The sequence below is a fragment of the Homo sapiens genome, chromosome 13, assembly GCF_000001405.40.
Source record: "Homo sapiens chromosome 13, GRCh38.p14 Primary Assembly".
Classification (NCBI taxonomy): Eukaryota; Metazoa; Chordata; class Mammalia; order Primates; family Hominidae; genus Homo; species Homo sapiens.
In genome coordinates, this window is record NC_000013.11 from 62,125,628 (window position 1) to 62,149,057 (window position 23,430).

General features: G+C 36.6%; 1 annotated feature.

Moving 5' to 3' along the window:
• Positions 4,862 to 5,370: an enhancer, noted in NCBI's record as "NANOG hESC enhancer chr13:62704622-62705130 (GRCh37/hg19 assembly coordinates)". NCBI's record gives its function as "activates a minimal SCP1, AML or CMV promoter by ChIP-STARR-seq in naive H9 embryonic stem cells {active_cell/tissue: H9 hESC(naive)}" and the evidence as "EXISTENCE:reporter gene assay evidence [ECO:0000049][PMID:30033119]".

Genomic DNA, 23,430 nt, shown 5'->3' on the forward strand with positions numbered 1-23,430 from the left:
ATAGGTCTTTAAAGGTTACATAAACTTTGCATTCCTAGGATAAAGCCCACTTGATCCTCAAGTGTAGTCCTTTAACTATGTATATGTGAATTTGATTACTGAAGTTTTGTTAAGGACTTTTGCATTTATAATAACATTTATTTTCTTGTAGTACCTTTGTCTCATTTTGCTATTAGGTAATTCTGGTCCTACAAAATGAGGTGAAAAATATTCCCTTTTCTATATTTTGAAAGAACTTTGTAGAATTCTTAGGATTTCTCCAAGTTGGTGAGATTCTCCACTGAAGCCATTGCGGTCTGGGTTTTTTTAGTGGGAATGGTTCTAATAATGAATTTAGTTTATATATAAATATATATATATATTATATATATGGTACTCTGTGTAAATTACCTTTTATTCAGTGTTGGTAGTTTGTATTTATCACAGGATTTATTCCTTTCATCTAGTTTACCAAATGTATCGGAAAAAAGTAACAACATAAATAATTAATTAAAATTTTGAAAAACATTTATAATATTTATAATATTCCTTATTATCCTTTTAATATTTGCAGAGTTTACAGTTTTTCACTTCGTACATTCCTGATATTGTCACTTTGTGTCTTCCTACACTTCTTTTTTCACTGATCAGTCTGGCTAGACTTATCACTTCCAAAAAAAATCTACTGAAACAACTAGTATTAAAAAACTAGAAACAGCTTAGATAACTGATTTGAGACATTTCTTTTTTTCTCTTTTTACATTTTTTTGTGGTTTTATAGAAAGTTTTATAGTTTTAGAGTCTTTATTTTAACTTTATCTTACAAATTGCATTTGGGAAATAATATACACAATGAAATATATATCGATTCCTTGTGATTGCTTCCCCAAAGCATGTGTTCTTTAAAAATGTGTTGCCTATTTTCTGAATATTTGGATATTTTCCAATTATGTGTCTGTTGTTGATCTGTAGTTTAATTTCTTTTGGTCATAGAACATAATCTGTATGATTCTAATAACCTTATGTTTCTTGAGATGTGTTTTATCTCCCAGAATATCTATTTATTTATTTATATATTTAAGTTGTATAGCAAGATGTTTTCTATATACAAATGAAAATGACTTTTAGTTTTTAGAATTTATTATGTACATTTTAGTATGTTATAATCTACCTTCATATAATACTATATGAAGATAATACTACTATAAACTTTCATTTCCCTCTCTATTCATTTTGTTATAATTATTGCATACATTACTTCTACCTGTAATATAAATCACATAGGCTGGGCGCAGTAGCTCACGCCTGTAATCCCAGCACTTTGGGAGGCCAAGGCAGGCAGATCACCTGAGGTCGGGAGTTTAAGACCAGCCTGACCAACATGGAGAAACCCTGTCTCTACTAAAAATACAAAATTAGCCAGATGTGGTGGCAGGCGCCTGTAATCCCAGCTACTTGGGAGGCCGAGGCAGGAGAATCACTTGAACCTGGGAGGCAGAGGTGCTGTGAGCTGAGATTACGCCATTGCACTCCAGCGTGGGCAACCAGAGCAAAACTCAGTCTCAAAAAAATAAATAAATAAAAACAAAAAGGCTGGGAGTGGTGGCTCACGCCTGTAATCCCAATATTTTGGGAGGCCAAGGTGGGCATATCATGAGGTCAGGACATCAAGACCATCCTGGCTAACACTGTGAACCCCATCTCTACTAAAAATACAAAAAATTAGCAGGGCTTGGTGGCGGGTGCCTGTAGTCCCAGCTACTCAGGAGGCTGAGGCACAAGAATGGCGTGAACCCAGGAGGCGGAGCTTGCAGTGAGCCAAGATGGCTCCACTGCATTCCAGTCTGGGCAACAGAACAAGACTCCATCTCAAAAAAAAAAAAAAAAAAATATATATATATATATATATATATAAAACATAATATATTTATTTAAAATATACTATTGTTTAAAATAATCTATTATCTTTTAAATTAAGATGTGAGAAAAATGTCTATTATTTTTTATCAATAGTGTTTGCCTTTCCAGAGTTTTTTATTATTTTGTGGATTCATATTTCCTTCTGATATCATCTGTCTTCTGCCTAAAACACATGTTCCTAAAACACATCATTAATTTGTTGTTATTGTGGTGATGGTTGTGGTTATCGTTGTTGTTTGGTTAGTGCAAGTTCTCCTGGAGATAAACTTTCACAGTTTTTGTTTCTGAAACACATTTTACTGACTGTAAAATCCTAAATTGATTTTCTTTTTGACTACTTTTAATATGACTTTCCATTGTCTTTTGATCTGCATATTTTCAGATGACCAAAGTTTATATTCCTTTATTCTTATATTTATTCCTTGGCATGTAATGTGGTATCTCTTCCACATTTAACAATCCTTCTAAAATTTTGTCACTTTTTTTTAGCAATGTTACTGTGATGTGTCTTGTGGTTAACTTCTATTTTAGTCTTCATTGATCTTCTTGGATTTGTAAGACTACGGTTTTCATATATACATTTATATAATAGTTGGCTATTGTTGGCTGGGCATGGTGGCTCACGCCTGTAATCCCAGCACTTTGGGAGGCTGAGGCGGGTGGATCATGAGGTCAGGAGATCGAGACCATCCTGGCTAACATGGTGAAAACCCGTCTGTACTAAAAATATGAAAAATTAGCCAGACATGGTGGCGGGCACCTGTAGTCCCAGCTACTCAGGAAGCTGAAGCAGGAGAATGGCGTGAACCGGGAGGCAGAGCTTGCAGTGAGCCAAGATTGCGCCACTTCACTCCAGCCAGGACAACAGGGCAAGACTCTGTCTCAAAAAAAAAAAAAAAAAGTTGGCTATTGTTTTATTAATTTGTTTCTTCTTTTTCCTCCTCTTTTCTTTCCTATTAGGATGCAATAGGACATATATTAGACAACTTAACGTTTTTTCCGCAGGTCACTGATGCATTGTTGACTTTTTATCAAGTTAGGATTTTTTCTTTCTTTTCCTCTCTGTGATTTTGTTTGTTTGTTTTATTTTTTTATAGATGTAGGGGGTACAAGTGCAGTTTCGTTACGTGAATATATTGTGTAGTGGTGAAGTCTAGGTTGTTAGTGTAACCATCACCCAAATAGTGTACATTGTACCCATTAGATAATTTCTCATCCTCTATTCCCCTTACAACTTCTCACATTTCCAAGTCTCCAGTGTCCATTATTCCACTTTCTATGTCCATGTGTGCACATTGTTTAACTCCAACTTATAACTTAGAACATGCAGTATTTGACTTTCTGATTTTAACAGTTGCTGTTTGCTGTGTTTTTACATTTACTGAGGTTTCTTCACCAGAATCTCATCTGCTTTTAATCTCATCCAAGGCATATTTTATATCACATATTGACTTTTTTGTCTACTAGTTTTATTTCTTTCTTTTTTATTAGTTTTTATATTCTCTTACTATGTCTTTTTTCCTTTTCTCTATTTTCTCAGTCATATAGAACATTGATATATTTTTTGTTTTAATATACTTGTGGTTATAAGCCATGAAGGGAATGAGATTACATACCAATTGCAAGCTGACAAATTTCCCTGACAGTTTTATGGATGATTGTACATGGCATGATACTTGTGGGACCTAAACATTTGACAGTTTGGTACTCACAGTAATATTACAGCCAGAGTATCAGCATTTTCACCTTGGTTATTTGATCCCCAATGTGCATAGGCCAATGCAAAGAGGACTGCATGATCCCTGCACACAAAATGTGTTGCATTACAGGAGACGAACGCTGAGTTAGGACACTTGAGTCTCTTATCATGCACAATAAGCATCCCTGCTCTTTGCCCCAGAGTGAGACATTGCCTTTACTATTATGGTCATTAAAGGTACCTGCATTTTTCTCTAATGGGAAACACTATCTGTCTCTTTCAAAGCTATAAGCACACCAACCATTTGCTATGAAGGGAGAAAACATCTCTATCACAAAGGCTGCTCACTATACAAACATTCTTGAAAACATAGAAACAAAGAGCAGTCAGTGTGTCTTGTTTACAAGGCATGCAGAAGTATAAGGGCCTGAAGGAGAACAGAATTATCACTTAGTATTTTCTGCTAATTCCATTTTCTCTGTAATTTCTGGAACTATTTATTGATTTCTTCTCCTCCCTGTGGGTCATATTTTGTTTTCATTTCTTGAATGCCAGGCAATTTTTGATTAGATGTCAGATGTTAATTTAATTGCAGGATGCTTTATTTCTATTTTTGAGAAGCGTTGGGCTTTGTTTAGACAGGCAATTAAGTTTTAAGTTGCTTAGAATCAATTTGACACTTTAGAGGTTCACTTCAAGTCCACCTCCAGAGCAGGCATTAGTCTAGTGTAGCCCAACTACTGAGGTTACTGAAGTAATGCTCATCTAAGAATTCTTCATATTGTCTTATCTATTTAGAGACCTTTCCATTTGGACTGATAGGATCATGAGCTATTCCCTGCTCTGCTTGAACTCAGGAATTGTTTAGACTACTGCTTTCCAGTGGTTATTATTTTCTGGGCTTGGATAAATTTCCTCTCATGCATAAACAGATTAGAACTCGGCCAAAGGCTCAAGGGGCACTCTCTGGAGATTTCGGAAGCTATTTTTGTTTAGCTCCTTCCTCTCCAGTATTCTGCTCCACAAATTTGAGCTGCTTTCACCTCCCTGAACTCTGATTTCTGCCTTCTTAATTGGGCAAGAAGGCAGATTCTATTTGGTCTCTTTTTACTCTGTGCGGTGACCTGGAAACTGCCTGTGGGCAGAAAGCTGATGTGATTTTAGAGCTCACCTCATTTGTTTTCCTCCACTTCATGATCATAGTCCTTTTCGGTGTGTTTTCAATATGTGAGAACTTTTGTTTTAAATATTTTGTTTGCTTTTCTGTTTGTTTAAGGTAGGAAGGTAAATCTGGTCCCTGCTTCTAGATCATGGTTTGAGGCAAAAGTAATTGGAAAGGTTGTACTTGCCTCTTACCTTTTAGTTAACATCTGTGAAAGGAAAATAAATCTTGGGACCCTAGAATCACTAAGCTAAAGAGAAAAGTCAAACTAGGAACTGCTTAGGGCAAACCTGCCTCCCATTCTATTCAAAGTCATCCCTGTGGTGAGGCTCACCTGAGACAAATGGATATCTGATTGCTTCTCTCCCCTATCGTTTATGTAAAAATGCAGATTCACTGAGCCAGACAAAATTGTGTATTCAGTGGAAAGCTGATCAAGGGCTCAAAAAAGTGCAACCTGTGTGTTTTATCTACTCCTAACCTGGAAGTGCCCACTTCAAGTTGTCTTGCCTTACCAAGAGTTTTCCTGCCTTTCTGGAGTGTATTAGCTTGCTCTCATGCTTCTATGAAGAACTGCCCCAGACTGAGTAATTTATAAAGGAAAGAGGTTTAATTGACTCACGATTCTACCAGGCTGGGGAGACCACAGGAAACTTACAATCATGATGGAAAGGGAGGCAAACATGTCATTCTTCACATGGGGGCAGGAGAGAGAAGAATGAGAGCCCAGTGGAGGGGGAAGCCCCTTATAAAATCATCAGATCTTGTGAGACCTAACTCACTATCATGAGAATAGCATGGGGGAAACCATCTTCATGATTCGATTATCTCCCACCAGGTCCTTCCCACCATACGTGGGGATTACAGGAACTACAATTCAAGATGAGATTTGGTTGGGCACACAGCTCAATAATATCACAGACTGAATGAACCAATGTATAATTTACACATATTGATTGATGTCTCATGTCTCCCTAAAATGTATAAGAGCAAACTGTACTTCTAACTGCCTTGGGCGCATGTCTCAATACTTCCTGAGGCTGTGTCACAAGAGTGTCCTTAACTTTGGCAAAATAAACTTTCTAAATTGACTGAGTCCTGTCTCAGTTATTTGGGGTTCACATTTTGGTAATCACAAAGGGATTCTGAGCGGAGGTACCACTGACCTTTGGCAAATCTCCTATTGGTGTTTGGTACCAGCTTGAGCTTCTTTATGGCACAAACCAATAGGAAAATTTGCTGAGACCTGGAAGCTCCCCTTCCAGATAATCCCTTGTCTCCTGAAATTTCACTGGGATCTAAAGTTTAATTTGCTGTACAACTCCCTTTGTTGGAGTTTTACTTGTTCCCCACAAGGAAGGTGTCAGGCCTCTACGTCCAAGCCTGCACATGTACATCCAGATGGCCTGAAGCAATTGAAGAACCACAAAAAAAGTGAAAATAGCCAGTTCCTGCCTTAACTGATGACATTCCACCATTGTGATTTGTTCCTGCTCCACCCTAACTGATCAATTGACCTTGTGACATTCCTTCTCCTGGACAATGAGTCTCAGAATCTCCCCACTGAGCACTTTGTGACCCTTGCCCCTGCCCACAAGAAAAAGAAACCCTTTAACTGTAATTTTCCATTACCTACCCAAATCCTATAAAACTGCCCCACCCCATCTCCCTTTGCTGACCTCTTTTTCAGACTCAGTCCGCCTGCACCCAGGTTATTAAAAAGCTTTATTGCTCACGCAAAGCCTGTTTGGTGGTCTCTTCACATAGACACATGTGACAGAAGGCAAGTTTTCCTGTTTCCTTAATGATGGAGTGCAGGTAACTCCTTTCTGGAGTTTCAGCTTCCAAAAGGGAAGGCAAGTTTGAATTGTTTCCTGCTTCTAGGATGGTAAAGAGCAGACTTCTGCCTGAGACCCACCCATAGGTAAGTAGCTGAATTGGGGAATTTTGTCTTGGCTAAAGTTGATTAACAACCAGCTGGTCTTAATTTCTCCTTAACATTAGATCACTCAATATTCAAATGAATTGTGCAATCATTTGTTTGTTTTGCTCATCTGTTTTTTTTTGTTGTTGTTTGTTTATTTTTGTTTTTGTTGTTGTTTCAGTCTTTTTCCCATTGGGTATGACCAACTCTATCTGACTTGATCAAATCCAAAGGAAAGCTCCAACTTATGGGTAACAAGGCACCTGAAGTGGCTAAATTCTCACAAAAAAAGGGAGAGAAGATTTTTTATTTTGACTTCTAAAGGGGTTTTATTTACATAAAAGGGCCACCTTTTTGCTAGCCAAGTCAACCTGAAAAGCAATGGCTGTCACCCATTATGCAGTTCCATAGCTAAGGTCCTGCCTTCTTTTTCTTTCACAATGACAGCCTGAGTTTGCTTCCTAAATCAAGCCCTTTTTTGGTTTGATACTTGTTACTTTTGAAATATCATTAATTTGGCCTAGCTAAAATATAGTCATGAGATTTTAAAATATTTTTTTAAAGGAGCTCAATGGGTAAAGGTCAGCTTAATTAGAAGCTAACATTCATGATATGTGTGTGTGTGTGTGTGTGTGTGTGTGTGTGTGTGTGTGTGTATTAAAAGGCCTTTCTATTTTTTTTTTTCTCTCCTAGGATCTTGTCTTTTTTGAGCAAATTTTTTTTCTTCTCAGTTGACTGAATTCTGTTTTATTCATTTACTTCTCTTGTCTCTCCTTTCTTTTCCTACCCTTTGTTGCATGAAGGGTCTAAAATAGTTTCTAATAGACTGGGGTTCCTTAAATAAATTGGAGAAGGTGCCACTCTCCCTTTTAGGAAGAAACCTCTTTTCCTTATGGAACCCCAAGAGTGTAAACAGACAAGTCCGTCTCAGATCATAAACTACTTGGTTTTGTATTATGTTACCTGATTTTTTGACAAGTAAAACATAAATTAGTTATTACAACAGAGGCTACTCTTGGATCTTTAAGGAATAGTATAGCTTAGACACATAGAAATGTCTTTGTTAAAAAGATTTCCTTGATGTACTGTAAAACAATCACCTGGCCTAGCCACATAAGAATTCTCCTTTTTTGGAGAACCAGGATTGAACATGGGCTCTGCCCAAAGCTCAGATACCCAGTTAGGAGATAGGTGGTCTCTAGCAAAATAAAATTGGTCTTATTACATAATTCTATGATAGATTTCTATAATTTTATGTTTGATTTGGCATTCATTTTTAATCTCCCTCAAGCACCATCAGATTCTCTCTGTACTTTGAGATGTAAATTTCATTATCTGATTTTTCACCTAAGAGTTCCTTTAATATGCAGATTTAGGGCTCTCTGACAATTGCCTAGGGTAATAAAATAGTTATCAAGAAATTGGATGTCTAAAATAGGCGGAAAAATAGAAGTCTTATTAATCTATAAGATCTACTAGCTATGTGTCTAATATATCTCTGTATTTATGTGTCATGTATATGACGTTTCACTACTAAAATATATTAAAAAACTCTAATGGGCTTTAAAAAGCACTTAAATCAAATACTTTATCAGAAAAATACTTTAAGCCAAATGATTTTTCAAGTTCACATAACTTAAGAAAATTTTAATAAATCAGCTGGTTTAAAAAATTTTGGTGAAATAGATTTAGAAATGGCTTTAGAACTGTCAACATACATTATTTATCTCTGCTAGATGTCAAAATTTGGCATGACGGGTATAAAGCTATGAATGCAGCCCAAAAGAGAAGTATCTTTGTTTAAGTAAAAATTAACAAATACAGCATTTAATATTGTTCTGTTAATGAAAATAGCTAAATTCTGAGCAATTGGCAAACAACAACAACAAACCCATCTATGTAACCTTAAGGTTCTTACTTAGGAAAGCCTGAAATTCACAGGGTATAAAAGTGGTTAACAAAGAACCTTAAGTGATAGCTATCACAGTTTTCATAATTAATCTCAGTAAAGTATTTAAAAATTAATTAAGTAAATGTAATGGAATAGATGCTTGTAGATAATCTTGTCATATAATTTAAAGTCTAAAGTTATATAAATCTAAATAATAAATATTTACTAAATGTCTGGGTCATTTCCAATCTCTTCTAGAATTATAGGAAAACATCTTTCTGAAAAAAAGAAATGTGTTCTTATTTAACAGAAAACAATTTTTGTCTAATTCAAAGGATATTGAAAATTTATGAAATTAGGTACAGGTAATCAGTGAATAAGAACAATGTAAACAAAGTTATAAAGTAGTTTTTTTGGCAAGAAAGTTTAAAAAGAAAATAATTTTATATGAGAAAGAATCTTGCAAGGCAATTAATTTTTTTGAGACAGAGTCTTGCTCTGTCACCCAGGCTGGAGTGTAATGGTGCAATCTCGGCTCACTGCACCCCCAGCCTCCCGGGTTCACGCCATTCTCCTACCTCAGCCTCCCGAGTAGCTGGGACTACAGGCGCCTGCCACCACATCCAGCTAATTTTTTTGTATTTTTAGTAGAGCTGGAGTTTCACCGTGTTAGCCAGAACAGTCTCGATCTGCTGACCTCGTGATCCACCCGCCTAGGGCTTCCAAAGTGCTGGGATTACAGGTCTGAGGCATCACTCACAGCCTTTTATTTTATTTTATTTTATTTTATTTTTTGAGACAGAGTCTTGCTCTGTCACCCAGGCTGGAGAGCAGTGGTGTGACTTGGCTCACTGCAACTTCCACCTCTCAACTTCAAGCAATTCTCCTGCCTTAGCCTCCCCAGTAGCTAGAATTACAGGTACCCACCACAATGCCCAGCTAATTTGTGTATTTTTAGTAGAGACAGGGTTTTGCCATGTTGGCCAGTTTAGTCTTGACCTCCTGACCTCAGAAGATCCACCCACCTTGACCTCCAAAATTGCTGGGATTACAGGCATGAGCCATCACACCCGGCTGGTAAATTTTTATCCTAAAATAAAATAATGGTTGACTAAGAAAGAAGAATGTCTAAGTTAAAACTGGAAGTCCAAGCATGTTATGAGTTATTTGTATCAAGTTGTCCATAATGGAAGGGAAATTATTTATACTAGTCTTTCTAGAGATTGAGTTTTGATGTTAAAAACAAAACAAAACAAAACACTTATACACTTAGGAATTGGTTAGAACAGTGAAGTTTTCTTAAGGGATTGATTTACTCTTAATAAATTATAAGAGGTTTTGATCTTTTTTTAACCCTAAGTACAACTTCTATTGCATCTCACAGTGCTCACTTTTCTCTTCCCTTTTAAAAGTCACAAAATATTAACTCTCTCCTTCAATTCATTTTCAGCTCATTTAAGTTTTTTTTCCTTGGGTTCTAACTGTTTGTTGTGGCCTAATGTTAAAAATGTTTCCTTAAAGGTCTAAAGGAAATGTTTTCTTCCAACATAATATTCTGTGCACTGCAGAAGGTCTTTTATTTTGCCTGTTGGTAACTGGCCTAACAGATTGTATCTTTTATCAAAATAATTCCTATGTCATTATTATTGAGTTTTGGTTTACTTAGAAAAAAAGTTTAAAAATTTTATTTAATTAAAGATATTACATCTGTGTACCTTCCTATATGTTCTTTTAAATTTCTTGTGACATTGCATTGCAGGGCTTTGACTCCAGGGTCTAAAAGGGACACCAAGTCCTGCTAAATCTTAAACACAGAGAGCTTAAATTAAACCCTCATCTTCGGGCCCAGTAGCTTACGCAAATCAAAATAAACTGTGTTCCTGAGACATAGGGCCAGAGATAAAAAACTATTCAGCTCCTCGAGGCCCAGTGACTATCGCAGAAGAGATGGGCACATGAGATCATAAGGGCCGATTTTAAGAGATAAAATTGGTTCACTTTCCCTAGAAATTAACCATTAATATCAAAGGCACACAGATGCAAAACCAGCATCTGGACCCCTGTGTCGCATTAACAAGATTTTCCTGGAGAATTAACTCACTCCTTAATAAAAATTATAAAGGATACAAGAAGGTTTAAGGAAATTATATCTTATGATCAAAATGATTAAAATTTTAAAGATTGTTTATAAGATTTTGAAAGACAGATTTAATTGGCCTTGTGCTGTAGTTAAGGCTTATTGTTTGGAAAATTAAGTCTCCTCTCTCAATGAATAAAGATTTTCACTTTTTTTAAGTCTTCCAGTTATCACTTTGATTAAATGAATGACTAATTTTACAATGACAATTTTTCATGATATCAAGCATTTTAAATTTTTGTATTTGACAAACTTTCCAAAGTCAAATTATAACTTGGGTCCTCATTGATTTTTTTTTATATTCATCCCCTGAAGTCCAAAAGAGACATATTCAGCTTATTTGGTACAAAAATCATACACAAAACATGGTCAAATATAAAATGGTGTTTGATTTTCTTTAGGCTGTATTTGTATAAATGTTATTTGTATGTATTCTAAAATTATGCAAAATTCCTATAATTCTGATACTACAATGTATATTGTTAATAATTATAATTGTTATGTAAAATTGTTGTATGTCACGAAAGCAACAAATTTCCAGTCAATTGTGGTTTTAATAATGTCCGTCCCAAGACTTTTTGTCATTCACAGACAGCCCTCTTGTTTTGATCCTCTTCAAAAGGTGGTTTACAATCAGCTATAGAATTTGATAGGTGCTCTTGAATGCAGAGTTAACTGCATGGACTGAACTGCTAGAAGACTGAACTAATCTTTTTGACCTTTTGCTTAAAATGTTGCTGATCCTTTGTTTTGTTTTTCAGTGAAGAAAATTTTTAAGCTATTTACAGCTTTTAACAATTGAGTAAAGTATACTCCTGTGAACAAAATTTGGAGCACATTTCTCTCCATCTAATTTCTCCAGAATTTGGAAAATATTTGTGAGTGTTCTTAACTTATGGCAATGTAATTATTTGCATAAGTGCAATAAGAATGTTTTCTTTTGCAACAGGACACAATTGGAGAAACTGATTGTTTTACCAAGGCTTTGACTTAAATGGCATGCTCTCCTTTAAGGAATCAAGCTTGACTTAGCCAATAAGAGCTCCTTGGGAAAACTGGCCTTATAGCTTGTCTGCACAGTCCCTGTATAGGGCTTCTGACCTATAATAAGTAAAGAATATTGATAGTGACTGGAGGCAGTCAAATGACTAGGCAGATGATGCGGTCCCTGGTGAAACCCCACTTTCAAGCCAAAAACACCCTGGAGTGCTTGTTCTGGACGAAACCCATGACCCACAGTGAGAACGTCTATTGCTGTTTGCCCAACCTTTCCTGATTGGTTCTTTCTGAATAATGCTTTTAACCAATCAAATGTTGCCTTATCCAGTACTATGTATGGCCTGCCCCTCCCCCATCCCATGCCTATAAAAACTCCAGACTCAGCAACAATGGGGGGGATGATGTGACTTCAGGTGAGAGACCACCTCCCCATTCCCTCTCTGCTGAAAGCTGTTTTGTCACTTAGTAAAATTATCCACCGTCATCACCCTCCAATTGTCAGCATGACCTCATTCTTCTTGGGCACATGATATGAGCTCAGGACCCACTGAAAACAGGTACCTAGAAAGGCTGTAACACTGTGGCCCTCTGCCCTTGCTAGTGGAGGCAGCTGCCCCATACAACAGAAGCAGCAGTGGGGCTGAGCCAGTCCTGGAGTCATGGGCCAGAGCAAGGCAAGGGGCTGAATGATTTGCTAACATGCTGCCATGTGTCAGACTCTGGACAGCAGAACTAAAAGAGCTAATTAACACACTGTAGCACCTGCTCTTGTGTTTTATGGTCAAGGGAACCCCTGCATGGGTGCCACCACATTCCCCTTGGGGCAACATGCCTGGTCAGGCTGCAGGGCCCACATGGAACCTTCTCCTGCGTTGGCACTCATAGCAGCCAGCTGGACCCCACACTCATTCATTCACATGCTCCCTCCCACTAGGGCCTGAGTGCACAGTTGTGGCAGCTGCCAAATCCACAAGGGAGGCTTGCCCTCAGGCACAGCCCACTGGACTGAATAGACAGAGTGTCTCCTTCTGTGAGGCCCACAAAGGGGCCAAGAAAAATCCTCTATGAATGTCACTTTCTAACATGCCCCAAGTTTTCTCAAGACCTCAAAAGGAGAGAAATTTACTCATAGGTATTTGAGGATACAAACCTATGGCTGTGTTTGGATTAAAAAAAAAAAAGTCTTATCTGAGATTCCTTATGGAACAAAGTTCCATCAAAGCCAATTTTAAAAGACTATGTAAAAAATAATTACTCTTGCTGCACTTTACACAAATAATCAGGCCACATATAAGACAAAAGCTATTTTTGCAAACAAATCAGTCCTATTATGATTTGTTTTTAATAAAAATGGGAGACTGGAGAGAGAAAAATTGCATTTCAAAATAAGCTATAGTACATCTGTTATTAGTTTCTAGTCTTGCCTAATGTTTTTCAATTTTTATTATTCTCTACAAATTGGACTGAATTCTAACATTTTTCTTGGCTACAAGTCTCCAAAATAATGTTTGAATTTTTTTCCTTCTTTCTTTTCCCTTTTTCATTCATTTTTCCTAATTTGAAATCACTGAAAACTAATCTGTGCTTTCTTAAAGCCTTGCAAACTGAAGCTAGACATCTTAAACTTCGGAAGGAAATAACAGCAACCTATTTACATACATAAGCCACATCGATACCTGCCTACTGTTGTGTGTGTGGACTTCAGCATAATACAGCCTACATTGATTTTCCAGGATTGTTCTTTTTTTTCATTTGTTGTTGTTTTCTTCTTTCCTGCCCCTATTTTCTCTTCATAGAACATGAGACTTCACAATCAGCTGAAAATGAGCTTTCCTCATAATGTGGGACCTACCCATCTAGGAATAAATCACCCTAGCCATGAGAGATTAGATGAAACCTGAGACTAATTTGTGACTAATTTTCTTCTATAAGGTGACTAATTTTCTTCTACAAGGTGACTAATTTTCTTCTACAATGCTTTGTCTGAAAGATTTTAAAAAGAAAAGGGGGGAAATGTGAAAGGAAAATAAAACTTAGTACCCCCAAATCACTACGCTAATGGGAAAAGTCAAGCTGGGGACTGAATATAATAGTACCTCCCATTCTATTCAAAGACATTCCTCTGAGTCTCTCCTGAGACAAAATAATATCGTATTGCTTCCACTCCCCTATTGTTTATGTAAAAATGCAGATTCATTGAGCCAGACTAAATTGTATATTCAGTGGGAGGCTGATCAAAGACTTAAAAGAATGCAACATTTTGTCTCTTCTTCTAACCCAGAAGCCATTGCTTTTGAATTGTCATGCCTTACCAGATTGAACCTATGTTTATTTTACACATATTGATTGATGTCTCATGTTTCATGTCTCCCTAAAATGTATAAGAGCAAACTGTACCCCACCCACTTTAGGCATATATCTCAGAACTTCCTGAGGCTGTGTCATGAGCACATTCTTAACCTTGGCAAAATGAACTTTCTAAATTGACTGAAACTTCTCTCAGATATTTGGGGTTCACATATACATATTTTGGACCAGGGTGATTTACTTTCATTCCAGTATCTAATTGTAACCCTTTAAATTTATTGTTTTAGTATGGCTGACTCTGACTTTAGAAGTAAATTCCTGAGCATAGCAATCTGTAAAACATGGAATACAGCTATTTCCAGACAGAGGTGATATTCAAAATATACAATAACACAGAAACAATATTATTAATACACATACATGTATGAGCATATTTTCCATGGCTGAATTATTTTCTACCTTAGAAATGCAACATCTATTATATTTCTTCTAAGTGCATGTTAACATACTATAAGCAATTTAACTTGTTTTTACTTGTATATTAAACACAATACTGACTTTGCAAAACTATCAATTCACTTTTTCATTGCTTAAAAAGTCAATTTTCTTCTTTAATCACTAAAAGATGGTTTTACTTCTACTTTCTGGTATTGTGTTTTTAAGTTATAAGATCTGACATTATCAGAGATTCCACAATTCTTAATTTCCACAATTTAAGAGTAATTATGAATCTCAAGGTAAAACAAATGTGAATCAAACAATTAACACATAGTTTGTTTTCTCTTGACAAATTTAAAGATTTATGTGAAATAAAATCAAGTCTAGAAAATTGTTTCTCAGCTGGGCATGGTGGTTCATGCCTGTAACTCCAGCGCTTTGGGAGCCCAAGGCGGGCAGATCGCTTGATGTCAGGAGTTTGCCACAAGCCTGGCCAACATGGTGAAACCCCATCTCTCCTAAAAATATAAAAAATTAGCCAGGCATGGTCGTGCACACCTCTATTACCAGCTACTAGAGGCTGAGACAGGAGAATCACTTGAACCTGGAAGGCAGAAGTTTCAGTGAGCCAAGATTGTGCCACTCAAAAAAAATAATGTTTCTTTGATAAGTAACATTCATAATTCTCAATAGCCTCCAAAAGAAGGAAGGATTGACTGTATGATTAAATTGATAGATGTATAGTGAATGATTTTCAGTCTTGGCTCAAATTTGTGGAGAAAAAATGATTTTCAATGCATAAAAATGGCTAACAAATTCATTTAACATAGTGTTTTATTTTTCTCTATAACTTTGACTCAAAAACAGTAAGATCTTGAAAAAAAATTAACTGTAATGATTAAATCCTTAATGCTCTGCCTCAACAGAAAAAGATAAAACCCCAGAATATAGCCAATGAACACTTCTTCAAAGAAGCACTGAAATGCTGTCATACTGCATTTCTTCCAACAGAAATATCAACAGCCATAGTATCATGTACTGCAATGGAGATCTAATGTTGCAACAGGCTCGTTTGATAACATATGGTTGAAAAATAACCTACTAAGATTATTTTTATCAGGTAATATTATATTTGCCAATATGGATGGGGCTAAAATTAACAGAAGCACTGGAATGATAAGTGCTAAGGGTATTTTTATTTTAAGGTGAAATAAAAATTAGTTATTTTAGTAAACTTAATTTCCCTACATGTTTTCCTCTATTTCTGTGCCCATTTCTTTTCACTTTTAGATTATGAAGTTTACCTTAGTGCCAACAGTTTATACACATTGTTCATGACTTAAAATTAATATGATATTTATACCAATGTTAAGTAAAACTGTGATTTCATGATACCTAAATCTGTAAAAAATTTCTTCTCAGTAAGATAATAAAATATACTGGCCAATATAAAGAAATATGACATATTTATGAAATGATATTTATTATTTCCTTTGAAAAGCATACAATCCCCATGAGTTCAAATGTGTTTGCATGTTTGTGCTAGGATTTATGGGATAACAAAGATGTACATCACCAGATTAAATCCCATTGGCTGGCTTCCAGAAGGTTGACAGGGTATTAGTTTCTTGATAATTTTACCACAGTCAAGAAAGTACATCTAAAACTAGCAGACTCAAAACATAATTTAATTAGAATACATGGAATGTATCCACTTCTCCAAACTTGTCTTAATTTAATTGCACTAAGAAAACTGATGCATACAATCAGAATTGCTTTTTGGCAATAAACTCATTTCAGCCATAATCCAATACAAGCATTTCTAAAAAATTTTCATAGCACTAACAAGAACATTAGTTTGTACCATAGGTGCTAACTTGAGCTGTCTGAGCTGGCAATTCAGCTTGGGCAGAGATTGTCATAATGAATATTTAAATTGAACAAAAACAATAGAATGAAAATGTTTACATAGCTGTCATTACTACAGTGCTGGTAGATATTGAGACCACACAGATGGAATAAAAAGTATTCGTCTGTGAGTGTGCCATTAGGATGGAGAGAGTTGTAAGCCAGGATGTGAGAGACTGATAATCTAATCCGGGTAGGGAGTTGCAAGATCTGATGCTTGGTTTTCATTTTCCTAAACACAGTTGTAAGAACTCCTACTGTCAGTGCCAGCAGCCAAGCTTAGGTTTGTGTTTTTCCCCTTGTCCCACCATCCTGACTTACCCAGTATAGGAAGTAAAATCACATACAAAGTAACACAAGTGCATTATATACCGATATCTTTCTTTATTTATGATTTATATATACTGCATTATGTGCACACATTGTGGCAGAACAGATTAAATAAAAATGAATATAACCTCAGGCTCATAGGGTCTTTCTCATTGGGAGGACATATGTATAATTCAATTGTTTCATAGCATCAAGCTAAAAAACATGCTTTGTTCTCTATAGTAGATATTTCTTATCGGTGAAGAATTACACACAATTTCATTGGTTAAAATTATTTTGAAGTCTTAAATGGGCATTTTACAAGCTTTTTCTTATGACATTTATAAGATTCCAGGGATCAAGAGCATCAGATCATCTTGATGCCTTATTTCCTATATCATTGCTGTAGTGTGGATATTTGTCATCTAAATTCTATGTTAAAATTTGATCTCCAATGTTGGATGTGGGGCCTAATGGAAGGTGTTTGGGTTTTGGGGGCAGATTCCTCATGAATAGAGTGATGCCTTCCATGAGGAAGGGGGTGGTGAGTGAGCCCTCATTCTGTTAGTTCCCTTGAGAGGTGGTTGTCAAAAAGAGCCTGACACCTCCCTCTCATATCCCTTGTTTCCTCTCCTACCATGTGATCTCTGCACATGCTGGCTCCACTTCACTTTCTGCCTTGAGTGGAAGCAGATTGAAGGCCTCACCAGATGCAGATGCTGATGTCATGCTTCTTGAACAGCACGCTGAATCATGAGCTAAATAAACCTCTATTCTATAAATATTACCTGGCCTCATGTATTACCATGTGGCAACACGTATAATCTAAGATAATCCTAATACCACTACCCTAGTTACAATCAAGATTGTAACTAATCTGACCATAAATATGTAATTGTAGTTGAATTCGAGCATATTGTCTTTTATGCGTTATGTTGATTGAAATTTTAACTGTAGATCAATGTTTCTCAACATTGACATTTTGGGCTGGATAATTCTTTGTCATAAGAACTGTTCTGCAAATTATAGGATTTTTAGCCATATCTCTATCCTCTTCCCACTAGATAATGTATGGAAGATTACCAGCAGCTCCCCCTCTCCAGTTGTAACAAACAATAAAAAACCTCACCAGACATTGCAAAAATCCCCTGGGGGTCAAAAACCCCACAATCTGAGACATTGCTCTTGACGAAAATATTCCTAATAAATTAAGGACTGATTTTTAAATCCTGTTTTTCCTTGTAAGATATTAGATCCTCCATATATTCTATAGCCTTCAAGAATTGGAAAGAGTAGAGAGCAGAGACTTTATCCCTTCCACTATCACATCTTTTAAATAAAGGAAGAAATTTGAAAAATAATTAATACAAGTATGGGTTGGGTTAGTACATTTTTTAAAATCCCTATCATTGCTTCCTTAAAATGTCTGTTAACATTTCAGCAGTCAAGGTTTAATTATAGTGATGTGCCTATTTTTATGGGTTTTCTGTTCCTCTTCTAGAATATGTTTTGCTAGTGTTTACCTCCAATAATACCATCAAAGAGAATTATCTTGCAAGATTAAAAATATGAATATAGTGGAGATAAATCAGACATTCACAAAGGTCTACTTTTACAAAATGTCATTAATAATATATTATTTTTCTGCTAGATGTAATACAGCACTCACAAGAAAGTAAAATAGTTCTGCTAACATATTGCATCTTATAGACTCTCAATACATCTTAACATAATAAATGTTATGTACTTACATGAAGAATACTGTTTAACAGTGCTTAAATCCCTATATTTCAATATCATTTGAAATATAAAATCATCTGTAGGTAACATTATTCAAAACCCATCATAAATTTATTTATTTATTTATTTTGAGATGGAGTTTTGCTCTTGTTGCCCAGGCTGGAATGCAGTCAGGCTGGAGTTCAGTGGTGAGATCTCAGCTCACTTCAACCTCCGCCTCCTGGGTTCAAGTGAGTCTCCTGCCTCAGCCTCCCAAGTAGTTGGGATTATAGGTGCATGCCACCATGCCCCGCTAATTTTTGTATTTTTAGTAGAGACAGGGTTTCACCATGTTGGCCAGGCTGGTCTCAAACTCCTGACCTCAGGTGATTCGCCCACCTTGGCCCCCCAAAGTGCTGGGATTACAGGTGTTAGCCACTGCCCCCGGCCTGTTTAATATTTTTATATTTCAAACTGAATGCCTTATTTTTTTCTATTTTGTGTAACTGTGGACAATGTGGGTGCTTGAAGCAAAACAGGCATTAAGGTGAATCTTTGTAGAATGTAGTTTATTTACAAACTGGATATTTTTTTCTCATTTTCTATTTTTATTTTTAATGTTTATGGATATATAGTTATTGAACATATTTATGGGGTACATATGATATTTTGATACAAGCATAAAATGTATAATGATCAAATCTGGGTTATTGTGATATTCATCACCTCAAAAATGTATTATTTCTTTCTGTTAGTAACATTCTAAATCTCTTTTACCTATTTTGTAATATATAATACATTATTGTTAACTATAGTCACCTGTTTTGGGCCCTTCTTGCATTGCTATAAAGAAATATCTGAGATTGAGTAATTTATAAAGAAAAGAGTTTTATTTGGCTCATGGTACCACAGGCTGCACACAAAGCATAATGCTGGCTTCTGCTGCTGCTGAGGGCCTCAGGAAGCTACTAATCATGGCAGAATGCGAAGATGGAGCAAGTGCATCACATAAGAATGGGAGCAAAAGAGAGAGGGGAGAAGTGCCACACTCTTAAATAATCAGATCTCACGTTAACTCGGAGCGAGACTCACTGATTACCACAAGGACAGCACCAAGCTATTCATGAGGGATCTGCCCCCAAGACCCAGCCCCCATCTGCAACAGTGGGAGTTATATTTTAACATGAGATTTGGAGGAAACAAACATTCAAACCCTATCATTCTGCCCCTGGCCCCTGAAATCTCACGCCCTTTTCATATTGCAAAATACAATCATCCCTTCCCAATAGTCCCCAAAAATCTCAACTCGTTTCAGCATCCACTCAAGTTCCCCAAAGTCCAGAGTCTTATCTGAGTTGCAAGTCACATTCCTTCCACCTCTGAGCCTGAAAGATGAAAAACAAGTTATTTATTCCCAACATTCAATGATGGTACATGCCTCGGGTATACATTCCCAATCCAAAAGGAAGAAATAAGCCAAAAGAAAGGCGCAACAGACCACATACAAGTCTGAAATTCAGCAGGGAAGTCATTAAATCTTAAAGCTCCAAAACAAATTCATTTGACTCCATGTCCTATATTCAGGTCACACTGGTCCAATGGGTGGGGCTCCCAAGGCCTTGGAAACCTGCCCCTGTGGCATTGCAGGGTACAGCCCTTATAGCTGCTCTCACAAGTAGGAGTTGAGTGCTTGTGGTTTTTCCAGGCAAAGGGTGCAATCTGCCACGTGGAAATACCATTCTGTGGTCTGGAGGGCAGTGGTCTCCATCCCATAGCTCCATTAGGTATTGCTCTCATGGAGACTCTATGTGGGGTCTCCAACTCCACATTTCCCCTTGTCATTGCCCTAGGAAAGTTCCTCTCTGGGGCCTTCATTTCCATGGTAGGCTTCTGCCTAGGCATCCAGGCTTTTCTACATGTCGTCTGAAGTCTAAGTGGAAGCCACCACACTTCCTTCATGCTTCTATTCTGAGCATCTGTAGACTCAATATCACATGGAAGCCACCAAGGCTTATGGTTTGCACCCTGTGGTGCAGCATCCAAACTGCAAATGGAGCCTTTTGAGTCATGGCTAGAGGTGGAGCAGTGGTAGACACAGGGAGCAGTGTCTTAAAGCTTAGCTGGGCAACAGGGCCCAGGCCTGGCCCCTGGACCCATTATTTTGTCCTAGGCATCTGGACCTGAGATGGGGGAGGCTTCCTCGAAGAACTCTGAAATGCCTTTGAGGACTTTTCCCCATTGTTTAAATGGGACAATATTTATTAACACTTGGCTCCCTTTTAGTCATGAAAATCTCTTTAGCAAGTTGTTGCTGGACAGCCCACTTTATTCTCTCCTGAAAATGCTTTACCTTTCTTTGCCACATGACTAGGCTGCAAAATTTTTAAACTCTTATGGTCTAATTCTCTTTTAAATATAAGTTCCAATTTGAAGTCATTTCTTTGCTCCTATATCTGATTGTAGGGTGTTAGAAGCAGTAACAGCACTTCTTGAAAGTTTTGCTTCCAAGCAATTTATTCTGCCTGATATTGTAAGTCATTACTCTTTAGTTCAACCTTCCACAGATCTCTAGGACATGTGTAAAATGTAGCCAAGCTCCTTGCTAGGGTGTAACAAGAATGAACTTTAATCCAGTTCCCAACAAGTTGCTCATTTTCATTTGAGACATCATCAGCCTGGCCTTTACTAGCCATATTTCTATCAACATTTTGGCCACAACTATTTAACCAGTCGCCAAAACGTTCACGTTCCAAACTTTCCCCGACTATTGAGTCTTCTTCCAAGCCTTCCAAACTTTTCTAACCTCTGGCCTGTTACTCAGTTCCAAAGCCACTTTCACACTTTCAGCTTTTTATAGTGAGGCCCTACTCCTCAGAACCAATTTTCTGTGATAGGTCATTTTTGTATTGTTATAAAGAAATACCTGAGTGATTTATAAAGAAAAGGTATTTAATTGACTCACTATTCCGTAGGCTGTATGGGACACATGATGCCAGTATCTGCTGCTGTTGAGGGCCTCAGGAAGCTTCCTTTTATGGTGGAGGGCAAAAGGGGAGCAGGCACATTATATGGCAAGAACAGGAGCAAGGGGTGGGGAGGTGCCACATTCTTTTTAAAAAACAGATCTCACATGACTTCAGAGCCAGAACTCATTCATTATCATGAAGATAGTGCCAAGCTATTCACCAGGGATCTGCTCCCATGACCCAAACACCTCCTTCCAGGACCCATCTCCCACACTAAGGATTAGATTTCGACATGAGATTTGGAGGTGACATACATCCAAAATATATCAATGCCCTGTAGTGCTATTGAATACCAGGACTTATTTCTTCTATATAAATTTTTTTTTATTGATTAACAAACTCCTCTGCAATTCTCCACCCCACCACCTTTTCCATCTTTGGTAACCACCATTATATTTACTATATCCATGGGATCATGTTTTTAGCTCTCACATGTGCATGGGACCATGCAATATTTGTCCTTCTGTGCTGGCTTATTTCAATTAACATAATGTTTTCCAATTCCATACATGATGAGACAAAAGAAAGGATTTCATTCTTCTTTATGCCTAAATGATACTCCTTTGTATATATTTACCACATTTTCTTTAGACATTCATGTCTTGATGGACACTGAGGTTGATTGCATATCTTGGCTTTTTCAATAGTTATACAATAAATATGGGAGGGCAGATATGTCTTTAATATACTTGTTTCATCTCTTTTTGACATTTACCCAGTGGTGGGATTGCTAGATCATATGGTAATTCTACTTTCAGTTTATTAAGGAAACACTATACTGTTTTCCATAGTTCCTACACTAATTATACTCTCAGGGACCATATGTAAGTGTTCCCCTAGGGTTTGCCTTTCCCCAAGTCCTTATCAGAATTTGTTATTTTCTGTCTTTTTGATAATATTTATTTTACCTGGGGTAAGATGAGAACTCATTGTGGTTTTTATTTACATTTCCCTGACAATTAATGCTGTTGAGTATTTTTTCATATATCTCTTGGCCATTTGTATCTTTTAAAACAAATGTCTATTCAAATCACTTCCTCGTTTTTAACGGATTATTTGCTTTTTTGCTATTGAGTTGAGTTCTTTATATATTCTGTTTATTAATCCCTTGTTAAGTTGATAGCTTTCAAATATTTTTGCCCATTCAGATTTCTTTTCAATATATTGATTTTTCTTTGCTGTGTAGAAGTGTTTTGGCTTGACATTATCTCATTTTAAAATTTTTACTTTGGTTTTTTATTAGTCTGTTTTCACACTGCTATAAAGAATAACTGAGACGAGGTAATTTATAAAGGAAAGAATTTTAAATGACTTATAGTTTTGCATGGCTATGGAGACTTCTGGAAGCTTACAATCATGGCAGAAGGTGAATGGGAAGCCAGGCATGTCCTACATTGTAATATTTTTCAACATCAATTTTGAGACTTCTTAAAAATTTCACAGATCTGTCAGGACTTGGTCAAGATGTTTATTTGCTTTGATTCTGAAAATAAATAAACAAACTCAAATAAAATAACAACAACAAACATGAAAATAGGCCATCAAAATAAGACTGAGGCCTTGAAAGAGTTTTATAACTTTAAGAGAGTTGCATTTCAAGCTATTGGTGTAAGAATAATCACAGCCCGGCCGATATCCATTGTCTTTAATACATATTGTTGAAGGGCATATTTTGGCATATTTATGTCAGTAGTCCAAGAAAAATAAGCTTTGATTCTAAAGTGCTCATACTTTTAATTTGCATCTCACTCGTACTTTTGGAGGGGTCCTCAGAAAGTTTACTGGCATGGTCAATTCTTATATACCAACCCAAAGTTTTCAACTCCTTTGACAAAAAGTTAAGCTATATTTTCCACACTTTATTATCTATTTGTTGACTTTTCAGTGCTCACAATTTTAGAGGAAATGATTTTGAGAGGTGAAGCCAACTGGACTTCCTGGGTCGAGTGGGGACTTTGGGAACTTTCCTGTCTTACAAGAGGCTTGCAAAATTCACCAATCAGGATCTTTCC